The sequence below is a fragment of the Homo sapiens genome, chromosome 16 (genome assembly GCF_000001405.40).
Source record: "Homo sapiens chromosome 16, GRCh38.p14 Primary Assembly".
Lineage (NCBI taxonomy): Eukaryota > Metazoa > Chordata > Mammalia > Primates > Hominidae > Homo > Homo sapiens.
Genome location: NC_000016.10, coordinates 88,423,239 through 88,441,410, shown reverse-complemented (window position 1 = coordinate 88,441,410; position 18,172 = coordinate 88,423,239). Strand labels below are relative to the sequence as shown.

The following is an 18,172-nucleotide window of genomic DNA, read 5'->3' as shown; positions in this document are numbered from 1 at the left end:
CCGAGTGTGGGAGAGAGGAGGGGACAAGGCGGACAAGGCTGCGTCTCTGGGTAGGTGAGGGGGCCTGGCTCCCCAGCCTGGGAGGGCTGCGTCCTGGCATGTGAAGGCTGGAAAACTCACACCAGACGGGTGCCTGGGGGGAGGCCCGAGGGTGGCAGAGCCCAGTCCCCACGCCTATCCTCCCTCAGCCCAGCCCCATCGCTCCCTGGGTCCCCCGGGCTGCTTCTGATGTGGGGGAGGGGCGCCAGGGCACCTCAGCCTCCCGTCTGTTCCTCCTGGGGGGTGAGGGGGGGCCTCAGTGAGGATGGCCGGGGTGGGCCTGCCCCTTTCTGGAAAACCTGGGCCAGCCCCCACTGCTGAAGGGGTGGTGTGTTCCTCCTGGGGGCGGGGGAGGTCCTCAGTGAGGATGGCCGGGGTGGGCTTGCCCCTTTCTGGAAAACCTGGAACACCCACTGCTGAAGGGGTGTTCTTAGGACACAGCCATGGCTGCATCACTGGGTCCTGCACGAGGTCCCGCAGCCCCGGCTGGGCCCTTGGCCCACGGTGGCCCGAGAGTGGCAGCTGGCGCAGACACCCTGGGAGCCAAGTTCTGAGGCTCAGGGAGGTGCAGACCAGGGATGGGGGCCGGCGGGAGGACAGACGTCACGCAGCTGGAGGTTTTCTGCGAAAATAGTGGGAATATATTTGAAAAGACAAGTCACTATGATGTTTACAGTACAACCTCAGGGCCCCTCCGCACTTGGTTTGCGACACTCCGGAGGCGTTTTGAATGGCCTACAACACCTTCCAGAGAGGCGGTCTGGGCCTGATTTGGTCTCTTTCAAATATCAAAATAAAAACTTTTGACGTACACATTGCACCCAAGTAAAAACTAAACAATAGAGCAAAACAAACCATGGATCTTCAAGATACTTATGGAGAGAAGGGTGAGAAGGAAGCCCTCTCACCCTTTGACCCACCTTCACAGGCACGACGCTGTGAGAGGACACGTGCGTCCCAGGCCTGGGTTGGGTCGGTGCATGAGGGTGCCCTGGCCAGGGCAGCGGCTCTGCAGCCCCAGCCCTGAGCATCCCCGTCTGGCAGCACAGACCTCAGGCTTGCAGCCCGGCAGGGGAGGCAGGGAGAGCGCCGCCATGCAGGTGCCCGTGCCCTCGACAAGCCATGGTGGGGCCTCCCTGACCCCGTCTGTCCCACCCAATACCCCCATTAAAAAAAAAAATCAAGGAAGCCTGTATTCACATTACAACACAAAAATAGCACCAGAAACTTCAGAGTAACATTGCAAATAGGCGGAGCCCAGAGCTCCGTACAGCAGGGAGGCTCTAGAGGGCGGCCATGGAGGCTGGGAGGGAACGAGGAGGGCCCGCGGGAGCTGGCACAGGGGCGGTTTCTTCCCAGTTCCATACGGGAACCCGGTTCCTGGGGTCAAGGTGTGCTAGAGATGGGCTTTTCTCCCGCAGAGCAAATGGAGGCTGGCATGACCCTGTGGTCAGAGGGAGGAGGCATGACCCTGTGGTCAGAGGGAGGAGGCCTGTTGTGCTCTTGGGGGACCAGGCGGCTCAGAAGCAACCCTTCTAAGTAGTGAGCACTGCCTTCCCCCACGTGGTTTCTAAGGTCACTTTGGAATTCCAGCAACAGCAGCAAGACTAAGAGGGAACCTACCACCATCCCACGGCTGCCTCAACTTACTTCCCTTCTCCATGTGGGGGAACGGGAGGTTGTGCAAATCTCCAAACATTGGCTTCTGTGGTGTCGGTGCCCACAGGGCGCAGGGGTGTGGGCTGAGGGGATGGGCTGCTGTCTCTTCAAGTACTTGGTACCAAGAAAACAGCTGTGTGGTCTCAAAAGGGCTGCAGTGGCCCCGTCTTTCACCCCCAGCCTTCCAGCAAGAAAGGGAATGCTGCCCACCTGGGCCCTGTTCAAAGCATCACCACCTCAGCTCTGACATCAAGGCCTGAGCAGTTGCACAAGAAGTCAAGTGGCCACAGAGTGGACCATCTCAGGGAGCCGGAGCTGGCCAAGGAGGCAGGCCGAGACAGGAACGCCCAGCTCCGGTCCCAGGCTCTTGCTCCTAGAAATTACTCGGAAGCATCTTTCTTTAAAGGGATTTTGAAGCCAGTTAGTCTCTGCCCGAAGAGCTGGCTGAGGAGGTCACTCTGGGCCTCGGCCGTCCGGTGGGTGTGTGGCTCGGCAGGTTCAGCACCGTGGACAGCTGTGCCCCTCTTGGGGGGCCTGAGCAGGGGTCTCCCCTGGGGGAAGGCCTTGCCCAGTCTGTCCTTCCTCTGTGTGTGGCCCGGCTCTGCCTTCCGCTGCTCTGATGGTGGCGGCCTGGGTTTGTTCTGGCTGTTGGGCTTGGGCTTGGTCGGGAGCACGCGGCTGGGAGTTGCCTGCTTCCGAGGGGTCCGGGGGGGCTTGTCAGGGGCTGAGGGGGCTCTCCCGAAGCTCCCCACACTTTCACTCCTGGCTGGCCCTGGGACCTGGCCCTTTTTCCTCTTCGTACTGCTCTCTCCCTTCTCCTTGGGACCTAGGCTCCCGTGGGGCCCCTGCTCACCAGCTTCCCTTGGCCCCTTGGTGCAGCTCTTGGCTTGGGCTCGAGCGGGGAGCCTCTCTGGTGCAGGGCTCCGGCTGGGGAAGCTGGGCTTGGCTGGGGTGGTGGCTGTCTCGCTCTGGAGCTGCCCGCTGGCTGGCTGGGGCTGGCTGCCACCTCCTGTCTTGGTGCCGGGGCGAGGGCTTCCACTGCCCTGGGAGCTGGGGCCGGGTTTGGCTTTGGGGGTGGCGGGCTTCATCCCATTCTCTGTGCCACGGGCCAGCTCCCCGGGTGCCAGGCTCCCCACCGCCTTCCTTGGGTGCACTGGGAACTTGAGTGCTTTGCTGGGGGTGGATGCTGCCGACCTGTCCTTTGATGAGCTCTGGCAGCCCGCAGGCTTGGTGGCGCTGCCCTTGTGGAAGGCGCCTCGGGGCCCCCCCTCAGACACCATGTGGCTTGAGGACACCTCCTTCTCTTTCTGAAGTAGGTGGTCTTCCTGGAAATGGTCAGGGGCACACCTGCCACGGGCACCCGGGGCCCTGCGTTTCCCTGAGAACACGAGAGGAGCCCTCTTTCCCTCCGCATCTTGGCCTCTGGCTCCCGGCCGCGGCAGAGATGCCCCCAGAGGGAGAGCTTGCTGGAGAAGAGGCCCGGGGCTGCCTGGGGAAGCCTCGTTCTCTGGCCTCTCCAGGGCTCCGTCCAGCGCGCAGTCTCCTCTGCCATCAGCCAAGGCAGCTGGGAAGGGAGACAGAGACGGCGGGGGACACTCCTGGTGGTTGGATGGCAGCTCACAACCTCTGATCGGGTGGGTCACGGGGTCTACAGGCCTCTCTAGGGTCTCGGGCCATCCCTTGGTGGTGCTGGGAGCCACCTCCGAACACAGGTGGAGCAGGGCCGGGAGAGAGCCCTCACTCAGGATGGGGCTGCTTCCCCGGGGAGGAGGCCTGTCCTCGCCGGGCCCAGGGGCACTGCCGGGCATGGCCACCCTGCGCCGTTTGCTGGGCAGTGTGCCCTCGAGGGCCCGGGCCTTCTGTCCCGGCGCTCCCGGCCTCCGCACGCCGCGGAACGCGAAGGGCTGCCGCCCCCCCCTGAGGTGCTTGTTCATGTGGCGGTCGAACTGCTCCTTCTTGGCGAAGGTGTAGTTGCAGGAGCTGCAGGCGAAGGACTTCTTGATGATGCGCATAACCGTGGCGCAGAGCTCGCAGGCATACAGCGGCGTGTGCTGCAGCTCCGGCCGCTCCAGCAGCCCGTGCGCCCCGCCCAGGTGTGCCAGCAGCTCCCCGTGCTCGGGGTAGACCCGGGGGCACCGGGGGCACAGGTAGACGCGCTGCGGGCTGTGCACCGCCAGGTGGCGCTGCAGCTTGAAGGGCTTGGGGAAGCGCTTCCCGCAGTGGTGGCAGTCGCGGGAGGGGTCCTTGCAGGCCTCGTGCACCGGGGTGGCTTGCAGGAGGGGCTCCCCGCCGGCCCAGGGGTCGGGGGACGGGCTGGGGGTCGTCCTGGGGGGGCCCGGGCTGCCGGCGTCAGCCAGGGCGGTGGCAGAGGCGCTGTCTGGGGTCGCGGCCCCGTCTGGGTTGCTGGGGGTGCTGCGTGCCCGGGGTTTCGCCCTCTCGCCCGGGCTGTCTTTCTTGGCTTCTCCCTCTTGCCCCCACGGGTCTCCCGGGCTCCCGGCGGCCTTGCCGGCGGAGCGCTTGCCCCTGTGGTGTTTGGGCGCGGGTTCCGTGATGCTGTTCAGAAGGTGGGCGACAGCGCTGCTGCCCTCCAGGCCTCCGGGCAGGTCCCCCAAGGACCTCCGCGCCTGCCCCCTGCGGGCGAAGCGGACCGCGTGCTCACGCAGGTGCTCGTTGTACATCCAGACGTCGGCCACCTCCTTCAGGCACATGCCGCACGCCCAGGGCCCGGCCTTGCTCTGCGCGTGCCTCTCCTGCAGGTGCCCCCGCAGCAGCTCCCGCGAGCCAAACCTGCGCTCCACGCACATGTAGCAGGTGGGCGGCGGCGCGGGCGTGTGGGCCAGCTTGTGCAGGTCCAGCTCGCCCAGGCTGCGGAAGCGCTGGAAGCACACTTTGCACTTGTAGGAGGCCCGCCTGCCCTTGGCCGGCCGGCCTCTGCCTTGGGCCCTCCCTGCCCCTGCAGCCTCCTCTGTCCTTCGGCTCTGTGGCCCCTGTGAGCTCGCCGTGCCCTCGAAGTCTAAGAAGCTGGGGCCGGGGAGACCCACGGGGTCTTCAAAGGGTCCCAGAAAGCACAGGTCTTGCATCTCAAACTTGGTGCTGAGCACCTCAAAGTCCGTGGCACGGAGCGGCAGCAGGTGGGTGTTCCCGGGAAGCCCACCGTCACAGCGTTCTCTCTCCAGGCTGGGGGGCTCGGGGCTCACATCTCCGAGAGAAGAGGAGGAGTCATCGGCAGGGGCCGGCATCTCCAGGCCTCGCCAAGCCGCTGGGACCATGTGCAGCTCAGGAATGGCCTCCGGCCGATCGTCCTCGGGGCAGTGGGAGGGCAGCTTCTCTGCACCAGCTTCCCTGCTGGGCTCCAGGGCCCACAGGCTGAGGCCGGGGGCCCAGGGGTCAATGCCAGGCACCCTGCTATTGAGGAACCCATCCAGGAGGAAGGACTCGGGCAGACCTGCGGGATCCTCGTCCTCCCACGGGTCCTCATGGCAGAGGCAGAGGGAGCTGGAGTCGCTGAGGTCCGTGGGCAGGCGGGCTGGGCCCAGCGTGGGGTCACCGCCCTCCTCAAAGCTGGGCTGGGTTGGCAGCGGGAGCACCGGCTTCTCACAGCGCTTCCCGTAGACATGCGGGTTCCTCTTTCTAGTCAAGCGACCGCCTGGAGGGAAGAGCTGGGAGAAAGAGACCTCATCATCAAACAAGCTTGGAGGATCCTTGGCACTGGAGCCAGAGGCATCAGGAGTGGGGCCTTCAGGCCCCTGGACTCCACCCTGGGTGTCTGGGTTGTCCGGGAGGCCCTGGAGGCAGCTGCTGGTGGTGCTGTCCGCCGGAGAGCTGGAAGTCTCGGGAAAACCCAGGGGGCCCAAGGGGGGCGTGTTCTCCTCCCAGACACCTTCCTCTGATCGGCTGTGGGCCCTGCTGCTGTCCTCCGCAGGCTCGCTCCCAGACTCTTTGCACACACCCAACGCCTTGGTCTCTCTTGGTCCCCAGAACCCCCTTGCCGAGGCTCCCTTCTGCCCAGTTGGCTGTTCCCCCAGAGCTGCACCATCCATCCTCCCTGGACACAGCATCCGATCTCCAGGTGGCTTCTGGGCCCCAGTCTCCCCTGCACACAGAGCCTCCTGGTCAGTCTCCGCTGCACCCTCCATCACCCCAGGTCCCAGAGTGGCCAAGCGAGGCGGCTGCTCCCCGTCAGCCTCAGGCCCTCCTTCCACAGAGAGGCAGTGGCTCGGAGAGGCTGCGTAACTGGCCATTGCAGGGGATGGTCTGGAGCCGCGCCCATCTGAAATCACATCAGCAGAGACTGGAAGAATGCTCTCCTCCCGGAGCCTTCTCCCTCTCAGCTTTCCCCTTTTCTTATTTGACTTCCCCTCTGAGTGGCTAGGAGAGTCCACGGTGGGCTCTCGGCGCCACCTCCGGCCTTCTCTTTTTTCTGCCTGTTTGGGATGCAGCTCATCTTCCCTGGCCTGGTCTGGTCTGGGCTTGGAGGCCGGAGTCTTCACATCTACCTCATGCTCAGTAGGGCTTGGAGGGTGCAGCTGCTGGCTGTGTGGGGACCCCGGTGCTCTGAGAACCTCCTTTGAGCCCTGGGCAGGCGGTGGCTGGGTGACGTGGCTGGGGTCTCCCCGTGAGTGATTTGGTCTCTCCTTCCCAGACACCCTGTGGCTTTTCTTCCTGGGCGGCTGGCACTTTTGGGCTAGGGGCTCTAGAGGCTGCTGAGCAGGCAAGGCCGCTGGGCTCGGCTCCGCGGGGGCTCCCGGGTGTGGCCGGTGCTTCCTGGCCTTGTGCCGGCTCAGGCCCGGCCCGGAGCGGAAGGAGGCTGCGCAGACCTCACAGGTCACAGGCCCATGTGGAGCTTGGCCCTTCCACTGGCCGTTCTCTGTAGATGCAGGCTTCTTTTTATAGCCACGGGACCTCTGTTTGAGGTCTTGGGGGCCGAGGGGGTCCCCCTGGGGAGTCTGGTGGGAGGCATTTCTGTGGCTTTGGGGGGAGTCAGACTGGAAGTCACTGGCTGTGCTGCTTGGGGCTGTGGTTCTTCCCAAGCCCAGTCCTGTGGAAGGGCAGGTGACCCTGGGCATCTTGGTAGCACCAGAGCGCCCGGTCTCAGGGGTCCCTGGGTCCTCCGGCTCCTTGCTGCTGGTCCCCATCTCACCTTCCAGGCAGGCGGGGGAGTCCGGCCCTGCACCCTGTAGCGTGGGAGGCTCAGTGGGCACAGCTGTGACAGCCTGGCCCTCCCTGTGGCCGAGGCGGGCAGTATTGCTTGGAGAATACGAGGAGTGGCCCCTGGGCATCCTGTCAGGGTTGGTGTGGGGCGGGGCTCCCCTGCTCTGGGGGTCTGGCCCTGGGAGTCCCCTGCCTGCCTGTGCCTCATCTCCGGTGGGAGTGCTGGACAGGCCAGTAGCCCTGACGGCCACGCTGGGGGAGACGGCCCCTGCCAGAGGAGGAGAGGTGGCTCGGCCAGGAGACTCCCACAGCTTCTCTTTTCTGGAATCCTCTGGAATTCTTAAAGTGCTGTCTTTGGGGGTGTCCCCACTGTGAGTGCAGGTTACAGCACTGACGGAGCCAGGAGGCCAGGAGGAAGGGTCTTCCAGGGGGCTGCCCTCCCCCTGGAGAAGGCAACCAGCCAGGGCTTCCTTGGGATCGCAGGGGCTTGTTGTCAAAGACGGGGGAGCCACCGGGGAATCCTCAGCCCCAGTATCTGTCGTGGCTTGGACGCCATCTGCCTCTTCCAGAGGTGCCCAGGCAGGAGAACAGGCCAGCAGCTGCTGGGGGCCGGGAGGGTCCCTGCAGGACGGAGATGCTGGCAGCTGCCCCCCCAGCCCACCTTGGGCCCTGGAAGGCGAGGTAAGTGGGTCTTCACGGGGCAGGGGCCCAAGGCTGCAGGGCATGTGGGCGGCTGAAGTGGGTGAGGGGGCGCAGGCGGCCAGGTCCCCGACAGAGGGTGCTGGGCTATCCCCTGTGGCCAGCAGTGGCTTGTTCAGGCCGGGGCTGGACGCCCTCTCTGGAGTCCGGCCCTCAGATCCACTTCGGCTGTGGGCTGCTGTCAAGGCCAGCGCCAGGGACTCCCTATTAGGGGACGGGGGGCTTGGGGTGGGCTCGGCCTCCTCCTGAAGGCTCATGGCTGCCCTGCTTCCCTTGCATTTCTCTAGCAGGACTGCACCCTCGGTGGGGCCGGTCAGCGCTGTTTTGGGACTGGCATTGACTGAGGCGTGGTTGTCCGTGCCCCCTGGGCTCACCCCGTTCTCTGGCTGAAGCTGGTTGGCTGTGCCTTGGCCCTGGGTTTTCTCGGCTTGGCCAAGCAAGCCCCAATGTCCATCTGCCTCCAGCCCCAGCTGATGTCCGGCCACTGCAGGGAGAGTTGTCACCTGCACACCCCCTGGGGAGCCCTGGGCGGGGCCACAGGCCACCTTCCCTCCTTCCACAGTGCCCCCTTCCAGACCTGAGGGGTTCACTCGTGGAGGGCTCTGGGCAGCAGGTGTCAGCTCCTGCAAGCCCAGGATGCCATCTTTACTCTTAGCCACTCCAGGCCCTGGGAGCTGGAGCTGACGTATGGGGGGGCTCAAAGCTGGGTCCTGGGACCTCCTGCTAGGGTGGGTGTTGGATACACAGGCGGGACTTGGCACAGGGACCAACCAAGCCTCCCTGCCCCGGGGGGCAGTCAGTGAGGAGGCCCCCGCCGGTGCAAACTCATTACCCTCAAAGCCAGGCCTCCCTGCCGTGGGGTGGAGGTGCCCACCTGCTCTGCCTGCAGAATGTCCCTGGGCAGCATGGCTGGGACTGGCACCAAAAGGCCAGGTGGCATCCAGAGGTGGAGCCCCGTCACCCTGAAATGCCAAGTCAGGGGCCAGATGGACAGCAGGGCTGCCAAAAGCTTCTGGAGCAGGGGCCCCTCGGTGGGGCTGGTCTGCTGTGCCGGGCTCTGGGAGGAACCCTCCTCTCTGTTCACAGGGAAGCAGCCGCAGGGAGTCTTCACTTTCTTGTGAGCTGGCGGCCTCCTTATTCTTAGGAAATGAAAGTTCCTGGTCGGGGCTGCACTTTGCTAAACTCCCGGCATCCAGCTGTGGGCCAGGCTGCTTGCTGGGCTCAGGCAGGCAGACATCTTGGGGGGGCCTGCTGTCTCCTTCTGCCTGGCAAAGTCCAGTCTTGGAGGCTCCGGCTTTCTGCACTGGCTGAAAATGGAAGTTGGCTCCCCTGGGGCTGAAAGGAGCCCCAGAAACCAGGTCTTCCTGGGCACAGGGGAGAAGGGCTGCATGTCCCGGATGGAAGGAGGCTGGGCAGGGCCACGTCCCCCCAGGCCTCCCCTGAACCGCTTCCACGGTGGCCACAGCCGATTCCGCACCCTCCCGATGTGCAGTGGATTCTCCAACGCGCGTGAGGTCAGCTGCCGAGAACGTGTCCTCGTGGGGCACGGTGGCCTGGCAGGTGCGCCGTTGGGAGGGTGGCTCTGTGCCTGTGCCGAGCTCCACCCTGCCCACCGACTCAGCTTCTGCAAGCTCTCTCGGGGCCCCACGTGTGTCTTTGCTCCTTTGCAGCTGACTTTCTAATTCGGTGACCAATTTCTGGATCTCCAGTTCATCCTCGGACAGGTGACTCATAAGAGCAACGCTACATCCACTCCCCTTCCCAGGCAAAGATGGGGCGGCGCCGGGAACCACTGTCCGTTCAGGGGGACACGTCTTACTGAGCACCTTTCCCCCCGAGAGATCAGGAAAATGGCTAGGCAGCATCGGGGATACTTCCTCAAGCAGCAAAAAAGAGGGGTACGGTGGATCTGACGGCACCGTCTTCTGGGGAGGGTCGGCACATGCGAACGGCAGACCGGAGTCCCTGTTCGCAGACAGGCTGCCATAGAGGGGTGGGTCGAATCTGTCCACCGGCAGGTCTGGGAAGAGGGATGAGGACTCCAAGGTCGGTGGCGATGCAGCCCTGCCTGGCTCCGTCTCAGCGGTGCCAGGTGGGCTCCTTGGCAGCTGTGGCTCGAGGGAACCGGCATCCTCGCCGTCCTGGCAAAGGCAGGAGCTGCTGGCCGGCGGGGCATCCCTGGCTGAGGGCTTGGGGTGCAGTTCTTCCAGGAAACAGCCAGCCAGGTCTTTGGGTCCGAGGAACAACTCACTGTGGGGGCTGCTGTAGGGCTGAGGCCCCTTTTTGGCAACTGGAACCCCCAAGGGGTCTCTGTTAAAACCAGCAGGGTCACAGCCAAAACTGGAGATCTTTGAAGACAGAACACTGGGTTTGGGGCAGGCGGTACTTGAGGGGTTAGCCACGGGTGCCAGAAATTCTCCAGGCTGGCGGGCAGGGGGGTCCTTGCTGTTGTGGGAGACTGGGGCCTGTGTGCCCCCAGGACCACCCAGCAGGCTGCCCACACCTGGCGTTGGCGAGCTTCCGTGGGGCGCCGTGTTGGCGAGGCTTCCCGACGGCTTGGGGGTGCCGGTGTCATGTCTGCTGGGCGGCGGCTGCTCTGGTATCAGGAGACCGGGGCTTGCTCCCATTTCTCCCGCACAGGCGGCTGGAGGAGAACGCAAAGCCTCTGTGAATTCTGTGCTGTCCGGGGCTGACTCTTCGGCAGTTTCAGGCTCCTTGGCCTCCTGGGGAAAGTCCAGCGACGGGCGGGTTTCCTCTGAGGTCTCGGTGTTGGTGGGGACCTGCAGGGGATCCTTGGGGGCCACTGAGGGGCGATCAGCACACTTGGGGCCTCCCTCCCTGGCGGCCGCTCCCGTCTCCAGGCTTCGAGACGGGCCACGGGCCTGAGGGCTCCTGCCGGGGCCCGGGCGAGACCCGCCCGGCTCCTCGGGGTTCGCGGGGGCTCCGTCCCCGCCGGCTTCCTGCCTCGCCGCCTTCCGGGGTTTCTGTGGCTCATCCTCTCTGGGACCCTGGGTCAGCTCCACTTCCTTCCTCTTCTCGCCTCGGCCCCGCCGGCCTCTGAAGCCGGGGCCCCGCGGCGGAGGCTGCTCGTCCTCCTCGGACTCCGAGGCGAAGTCGTACTCGCGGAGCCTGCGGTCCTCAGCTCCGGGCCGGGGCCTCCCCGCCGCCAGGGAGCCGCACCTGCCCGCCCGCCGCCCCAGCCGCCGGTGGCGCCTGTTCTTCTGCTGCACGATCTTCAGAATGAGCTCCTTGCCCCAGGCGCCGCCCCGAGCCTTCCTCTTCCTGGGGTCCTTCCTGGGGGGCAGCCGGCGGCGCCGGGAGCTGCGGGTCTCCTCGGGGAGGGCGGCGGCTCTCGGGACCCGGGGCGCGGGGTCTGCGCGGCTCCCGGGGGCCTGCGTTCTAGGGCGCCGGGGACGGGGTGGGGGCCGCTCCCCGAGACCGTCGTTCCTCCGGGGCCTCAGGCCGGAGGCTCTGCCGCCGCCGCCCGACCCCGACCCCTCTGCTGCGCCGCCCGAGTCCAGATCCTTCCGGAACAGCTTCAACTGCTTCCCCCTCCTCTGCTGCCTGCCCTGGCTGGGCGCATCCGCCTCGGTGGGGGCCAGACCCAGGGAACGCGTTTTGGGCCTGCCTCGGGCTGGGCAGCCCCTGTCCCCAGGGCGGGGGGTTTGGGGGTCCGGCGTGGCTGCTGGGAGCGGGGGCGGAGCTTTGCTCTCTGGAGTCACCCCCGCCTTGCTCTTAAGGGGGTGTCCGGAGCTGGGACCTCTGGGGCCGGAAGGCTCCTCGTCCGCGAAGACGTCGATGAAGCTGCTGTCGATCTCCGGGTTGTCCGACTGGTACTCCATGCCGTTGAGCGCCTCTGTGATGAGGCTGTCCAGCTTGGCGTCATCCTCCATGTCCAGGTCCGAGGCAGGGAGCGGGAAGGGGGTGGCGGCCAGGCTGGGCAGGAAGCCTGTCCTCAGGGGGTCGTCTTTGCCCTCGGCCTGGGCGTCCCCAGCTAACAGGAAGGTCTTCGCGTGGCTGAGCAAGCCCGCGTGTGCGTCGGCAGGGACTCTGGGGGCAGCGGGGGGCGAGGGGAGCCCAGGGGGGCCTGGAGACCGCTGGTGGCCATCCTTGGCCCTGGCCAGGAGCAGGCCACAGAACTGCCGGTGGGCCAGGAAGGCCGCCAGGCTGCTGTAGTTGCGGTCACACTGCCTGCAGGTCAGCAGCACGTCCAGCTGGTCCAGGCTGGCGCTGCTGAGGGAGAAGTGGTGTGTGGGGTACGGAGGCGGCGCACGGGGGAAGCCCTGCAGCCCTCCCCGACCCACCTCGGGGCCCTCGTGGGGGAATGGGGTCTCCTCCAGGCACTGGAAGGCACCCTCGGCTCCCAGCCCATCTGCGGGAAAAGGGAAGGCCTTGGCTGGCTCTGGCTGGTAGTGGGTGGGGAGGGAGTGGGGGGGCTCCGGGGACGGGAAGGGGCTGCCCGTCTCCTGGGGGTGAGTGGGTGGGTGGAAGAAGGCCGAGGGCCCGAGGGGGCCGGGGAGCTGGCTTTCCTCTGAGCTGGGGTTGGCTGGGCTGCTGGACATCGGCGACAGGGAAGAGCAGGTGCTGCCGGCCGTGTTGGTGGCCGGTGACGGCAGTGGGGACTCGCTGGGGGAGGCTCCCACTACCCTCGGTGGGGGCAGGCTGGGTGTCCCGTGGGGTGAAACCTGGGGCTGGGCCACCCCGAAGAACAGGGGCTGAGCCCCAGGGTCTGTCATTCCGTTGTAGGTGAACAGTGCTGGGGAGCCGCCCTGGCTGCTTCTCACGGCTGGCAGCTTCTCTCTGGGTCCCGGTGTCTTGCCAGCAGTGCCCAGGGCTCCTTGGCTGCCCCCCTGCCACTCGGGGCCCCCCGCGGGGAAAGGCAGCCGGCTCAGCATCTCCATTCCGTGGGGACTTGGCCGGGCGGTCGGGAGCACTTGGGGCCAAGGCAGGGGGGCACTCTGGGGGAGGCAGAGCCGCTGGCCTGGGCTGGGCTGGCCGTTAAAGAACATACTCCTGGTGGCAGCCAGGGGGCCCCCAGGAGGTGTGGGGTAAGGGGCTGCTGTGGGGTCCCACAGCTGGGGCAGCCTGGCGGGTGGGGGCCCTGGGGCGGCCAGCTCGGTGTCCGGAGGCCCCGGGCTGGTGTCCACCCCACTGGCTCTGTACGCCTGCCCTGGAAAGTGCCTCTGGGGTAGGGAGCTAGGGGGCCCTCTCGTGCTCCCCAGCCCATCCTGGGCTGAAGGTGGTCTTTCGGGAAGGATTTTGGTCAGGCTCTTGTGTAAACTGTCAGAGAAGGGTCTCGGGGCCGAGTGAGCAGCTCCAGGGGAAGAGAGGGCACCACTGAGGTCGCTGTGGCGGTTCAGGCCACCTGGCTGGCCCTGGTAGCAGGGCAGGGGTGAGGGCGCAGGCTGGGTGGGCAGCGGGTAGGCAGGGCCCGTGCCCACGGCCTCCTCCGGCCACGCTCCCTGGGGCTGATGGAAGGCAAACACCAGTGGCCCATTGGTGAATGCGTGCCCAGCCACATCCGCAGGGAAGGGTTTTGTGCTGGCCCCATGCAGTGCCGGGAAGGGGAACTGGAAGGAAACTCCCCTGGGGCTGCCGCCGGGCCTGCTGCCTTTGGGAATAGGTTCCGGCTCGGCGGGGGGAACCCCGAAATTAGCACCTGGGAAGCTATTCTCAGCAGCGGGAGGCCAGGAGTCGGCCCCACTGGCCTGGTATTCGGGATAGGAACCGGGCTGGAGGGGGCTGGTGCCCCTGCTCTGGGGGGGCCCCGGGGCTGGGGGCCTGGGGGTGGCGCTTGGTGAGGTATAGTTGGTGGAGGTAAAGCTGGAGGGTGGCTCCTGGAAGCACCTGTGGAAGCCAAGCTCTTCGGCGGCGGGTTGGGCCTCAGTCCTTGGGAGGCCCGGCCTGAGTGGAGCTCCAGTCCCAGGGCCCTGGGGGGTGTCCACCTCAGGGAGCTGGGCAGCCTCCAGCTGTGGGTTCTCTGGTGTCTCGTCCAGGGTGGGCTTGGTCCTCGAGCTGGCGATGCCCAGAATGTAGCGCTGTGGGGGGCTGCCCTCTGCCCTGCCCGCCAGCCTTGAGGGAGCCTGCAAGGGGCTTCTCCCCGGTGGGGTCTGGGGGCTGCCCCTCTTCCCAGGGGTGCTGCTCGGGGCCTGGCCTCTCAGGGATGGGGGCTTGAGCTCCCCGTCCCTGGCCTGCCTTGGCTGGGCCTCGGGGAGCTCCATGGCCTGGGCCTGGCCGCCAGCCTCCCTGGCACCCTTGGTGGTCCTGGTAGCTGGGGTGTTGTCCTCCAGTGGCGGCTGGGAGGGGTGCCCCGGGCTGCTGGCAACTTGGCGGGGCTGCAGGTCTCCAGTCATGGTGGGGGGCGGCGCTCCTCGGGGGCGCTCCCCAGGCATGGCCCCTCCGTCCTGGCGCTAGGACGACGCAGCTGTCCGAGGGGGGCCCTGGGGAGTGGGCTGGACGGCCATCCTCAGCCCTCGATGGGCCCCAGGGAAGCCTGCGCTCATGGTCCTGAGTGGAGCCTGGAAGGAAAGGTCAGGGGTGAGTGGGGCAGAGGGGCTGGGTGGCCCTCGCCTAGACAGGGAGCTTCTAGGCTCTCCATGCGGGTGTGGCCGGGCCAGAAGCAGAAGAGGCTGCGTGCAGCCATCACAGAAGCTCCGCGCTTAGAAGGGATGCTCGGCTCAGCCCCTACCTAGAAGCAGGAAGGGAGAGGGCATCCCGCCAGATGGAACAGGGACCCTTCCCTGTCTTAGGGAGAAGAGGGGCGGTGGAGCGCAGAGATTGAGTGGAGGGGGAGGGAGGGGGAGCTTTCTGGGGTGTGAGGAGGCCGCTTACAGGCTCAGAGCAGTCCTCGGCCAGGCTGTGGAGAGGACAGGCACCTGTGTGGGGCACAAGCTCTCAGCCTGCAGGAACTGCCCCAGGGCAGGGTCCTGGCAGCGTCCAGGAGGGCCCAGGTGGATGCTTACACCTGCCATGGGGAGGGCCTTGAGGCAGGAGGCTGCGTTGCAGGACATAGGGGACTGAGGCAGCAGAGGCTCAACCTGAACCTCTCAGGGCCTGGGCGGCTGGTTCCAAGCGGGGACTCCCCTGCCGTCAGCCAGGGTCTCCCTGCCACCAGGCCTTACAGGGTAACCTCCAGATCCTGCCGTCAGCCAGGGTCTCCCTGCCACCAGGCCTTACAGGGTAACCTCCAGATCCTGCCGTCAGCCAGGGTCTCCCTGCCACCAGGCCTTACAGGGTAACCTCCAGATCCTGCTCCAGGAAGCCCCCAGCCTCCAGACGGTGCCGGCTCCCATTCTGGCACATGCCAGATGTAGCAGGAGCCGCTTGCCCAGAGGAGCCTGGCCCCTTGCTCACCCAGGGCTGGCTTCACACTCATCATGTCTGTTCTCATGTCATGACATACGGGACTGTCCTCTGTGCGGACAGGACTCAGACCCGAGCCATTGGCTGTGGCCACGAGGTGCGCAGGCCGCTCCGTGTGGGGGCCCCTTCTGACTTGCCCAGCAGGGACCGGGCGTCCTTTACACAGCAGAGTGAGGCAGGGCTCAGCCCTTGCAGGCATTGTCCTTGCCACTGACCCCTGGGTCCTCATGGCAGGCCCAGAGAGGCGGATGACTTGGCCAGGGTCACACAGCCAGCAGCAGAGCAGCTGGGAGCTGAAGGGACAGGCCTCAGGCCTGGAGCACTCTCAGAGACCCTGCTGCCTCTGTGGAGGCGGGGGCTGCCTCCTGAGGTCACAGGACCCTCCCACCGGCCTGAGCTGGTGGTGTCTCATGCCCCTCCCGGAGTTCCCGCACTACAGCCGCCTGGGGACTCCTAACGCAGAGGCTGGCAGGCCCTCTGTCCCCAGCACGAGGTTGGTACCTGTACTTCCGGCTGGCTCTTCCTGCTGTGCCCAGGGACTGCCTGCACCGGGGAGGAGGGTCCTGCCCAATTTGGGCCAAGGTCTCCAGGGTGGGCGAGGTCCCAGCCTGCAAACTCCACATCACACCACCAAAAAGAGTCATGCCAGCTGGGGGGCCCGGGTGCCCCTTCCTCCTCTGCCCCCACCACTGAGGTACCTCCTGTCCCATGACCCCGGGAGGAGGGCCCCTTTCCCTCTTCTGGGATCCACTGCCAGGGGGCAAAGGCCTGGGAGTCCTTGGGGCCAGGATTCACAGGTGAGGTTTGTTGAGTGAATAAATGATGCTGGGCGTCTGAGCACTTTCCTGAACTGCCTCCCTTGTGCTCACGGTGGCTCAGAGGTGATCTGTGATTGTCGCCCTGAATTTATGGGTGAGGAATCCAGGCACAGAGAGGTGGGGAACCCGCTCAAGGCCTCAGCCAGTGTAGGCGAGGTCCTCCTGGGAGGGCTGGCTCCTAGCCCTGCACATCTCCTGCCCTGCACATCTCCTGCCCTGCACATCTCCTGCCCTGCACTGGGCTTAGCCATGTCCCACATGGCCCAGACACCCACTGGGGCCAGGCTGCAGGGTTGGGGGTAGGAACAGCAACAGCCAGGCCCCACATGAAGCCCAGTCCCACATGTCAGACCCCCCTACCCATGGCCAGAGTCCTCCAGGAGGTGATGGAGGAGGAGGGGGCTCAGAGTGGGGACCTCAGCCCAGATGGAGCATCATAAAGGCCTCCTGGAGGAGGTGGCCTTTACGGAGTCCTGGATGGTGGGGAGGAGTGTTGAGAACACAGCTGTGCCCAGGGGCTTTGTCAAGGGAAGGAGCTGGTCTGATTTATCAAGGGAAGGAGTGAGGCCTGCTGGCTCAGCGGCTGCCATGAGGAACATCAGGTGACACGCCCGCCTGCTGGCTCAGAGCTGTGGCTGGAAGCCCTGCCCGGCGGGCCCCAGGAGTCGGCTCTCGGGAGGCAGTAGGCAGGCCCGGTTACTGTCCTGAGAGGGAGAGGAAGGCCGGGCGGGTGGGGGCGGAGGGGGCCTCAGGACCATCAAGACCAGAGCATCTGTGGCCAGCCTCGGTGCAGGCTGCTGCCTGTACATACCTGGGGAGTCGGGGGCCCCTCAGCTGGGTCGCCGCACAACTTCCTGAGGAATGAGAATTTCTTGGCTGCAAAGAAAATGGAAAGCATGTCAGGGCCGATGTGGTGCATGGCTCTGGACCAAGAGCCCGAGGAGAAGCCAGGTGGGAGGGAGCGGCTCCTGGGCAGAGCCGGCTGTGGCCTCAGGGCACCGGGAAGCCACCAAGAGCCACCGGGAGATGGGTGAGCTCCCCTCAGAGGCCAGCGGGCAGCTCAGCTGGCCCGGGGGACCCTGAAGGGTTTAGGGGTCACCTGGCTGCCTCAGCTGCAGCTTTGACGGCTATCTTAAATCTCTTTTTGTTGGGTCTTTATGTACGCATAGATTGTGTGTACATGCAGCTCCGAAGCTCCAGATTATTACGAGTTGCAGTGAGAACGCTGCCCCTCCCATCCCTGCCAGGATCCCTCCCCAGTCCCGCTGGGGAGACTAGAGGAGCTTCTGGTGTTTCCTCCCAGAGTCCCTGGATGCAAACACCAGCACACAGGAACACACACTGCCTTTCCTCCTTCCTTCAACAGAAGATCGTCGGCTACGCTCACTGTTCTGCACCTGACCTTTTTTTCATGTAACAACATATCCTGTAGATAATCCCACAACATTCCGTGAAGAGGTTTCTCACTCTCTGTCCACTCGTCCTCGCATCCAGGCTGCAGAGCACCCAGACCTGTCTGGATGGACACTGGGCTGCTGCCTGCATTCGGCCCTTAGAAACAATACAGCAATGGTCACCACATGGCGACAGCCTGTGCTCCAAACGCTGTGGGCCTAGCTGCGTCAAAGGGCACCTGCGTTTGACTTTGGAAGGAGATTGTCCAATTGTCAGTCTCCGTGATGGTTTTAAAATATGGCCACACATTCTTTAACACTCCTCCCTTCAAGAGGTGGAGCCTCATTCTCTCCACTTGAACACAGCTGAGCTTACCGCCTCACTGCTAATGAACAGAATATGCTGGAAGGAGGGGTGCTGGACTTCAAGATTGGGCCCTAAAAGGCACTGCAGCTTCCTCCTTGCACACTTAGATCACACATGTGGGGAAGCAGCTGCCATGCTTTCCGGGCACTCAAGCAGCCCCGTGGAGAGGCCATGAGGTGAGGAACAGAGGCCTCCTGCCTGTAGCTGTGTGAGGGAGCCATCTTGGAAGTGGCTTCCCCAGACTCCGTTGGGCCTTTGGATGATGCTGCAGCCCCTGCTGACATTCTGACCGCAACCTTGTGAGGGAATTTGAGCCAGAACCACCCGCTAGGCTGTGCCTGCATCCTGACCTTTGGAAACTAAGAGATAATAAAGGTTTGTTGTTTCAGTCTGTTCTTTATGATACAGCAATAGACAACCGTAACTCATGCCCCTCCTAGCAATGTAGAGAACCCAGAGGCCCTAATGTGAGTCACTGTGTCACAGGAGGAAGCATGTCCTTACCCAGAGATGTATAGACTGAGGCCCAGGGAGGGTGAAGAACTGCAGGAAGCCACTGGGACTTAGCAGTAAAGCCTTTGCCACACTGTCCCATCCATCTGTTCATGTATCCATCCATCCACCCACCTATCCATCCATCCATCTACCCACCCACCCATCCATCCATCTATCCATCCATCCAT

General features: G+C 64.9%; 1 protein-coding gene and 1 long non-coding RNA gene across 3 annotated transcripts in view, besides 3 other annotated features; one reads left to right on the top strand and one right to left on the bottom strand.

Moving 5' to 3' along the window:
* The window catches only part of ZNF469 (zinc finger protein 469), a 339,823-nt gene continuing 322,308 nt past the window's right edge, over positions 658–18,172 (bottom strand). For both annotated transcript variants that reach the window (XM_047434810.1, NM_001367624.2), the window contains 2 exons: positions 16,540–16,604; positions 658–14,066 (listed from right to left, as the gene is read on the bottom strand). In XM_047434810.1, coding sequence (XP_047290766.1) covers positions 2,079–13,940 — 11,862 coding nt within the window. In that variant the 5' untranslated portion in view covers positions 13,941–14,066; positions 16,540–16,604 and the 3' untranslated portion in view covers positions 658–2,078. The remainder of the gene's footprint in view (positions 14,067–16,539; positions 16,605–18,172) is intronic.
* Positions 3,812–3,961: a silencer, noted in NCBI's record as "silent region_7848". NCBI's record gives its function as "represses an Ori minimal core promoter by ATAC-STARR-seq in GM12878 lymphoblastoid cells {active_cell/tissue: GM12878}" and the evidence as "EXISTENCE:reporter gene assay evidence [ECO:0000049][PMID:35858748]".
* Positions 7,907–8,407: an enhancer, noted in NCBI's record as "H3K4me1 hESC enhancer chr16:88499412-88499912 (GRCh37/hg19 assembly coordinates)". NCBI's record gives its function as "activates a minimal SCP1, AML or CMV promoter by ChIP-STARR-seq in naive H9 embryonic stem cells {active_cell/tissue: H9 hESC(naive)}" and the evidence as "EXISTENCE:reporter gene assay evidence [ECO:0000049][PMID:30033119]".
* Positions 10,656–10,815: a silencer, noted in NCBI's record as "silent region_7847". NCBI's record gives its function as "represses an Ori minimal core promoter by ATAC-STARR-seq in GM12878 lymphoblastoid cells {active_cell/tissue: GM12878}" and the evidence as "EXISTENCE:reporter gene assay evidence [ECO:0000049][PMID:35858748]".
* Positions 11,049–17,877, top strand: LOC112268182 (uncharacterized). Its single transcript, XR_007065178.1, has 3 exons — positions 11,049–11,139; positions 11,289–11,447; positions 15,145–17,877. It is a non-coding gene; the product is annotated as an uncharacterized LOC112268182 (long non-coding RNA).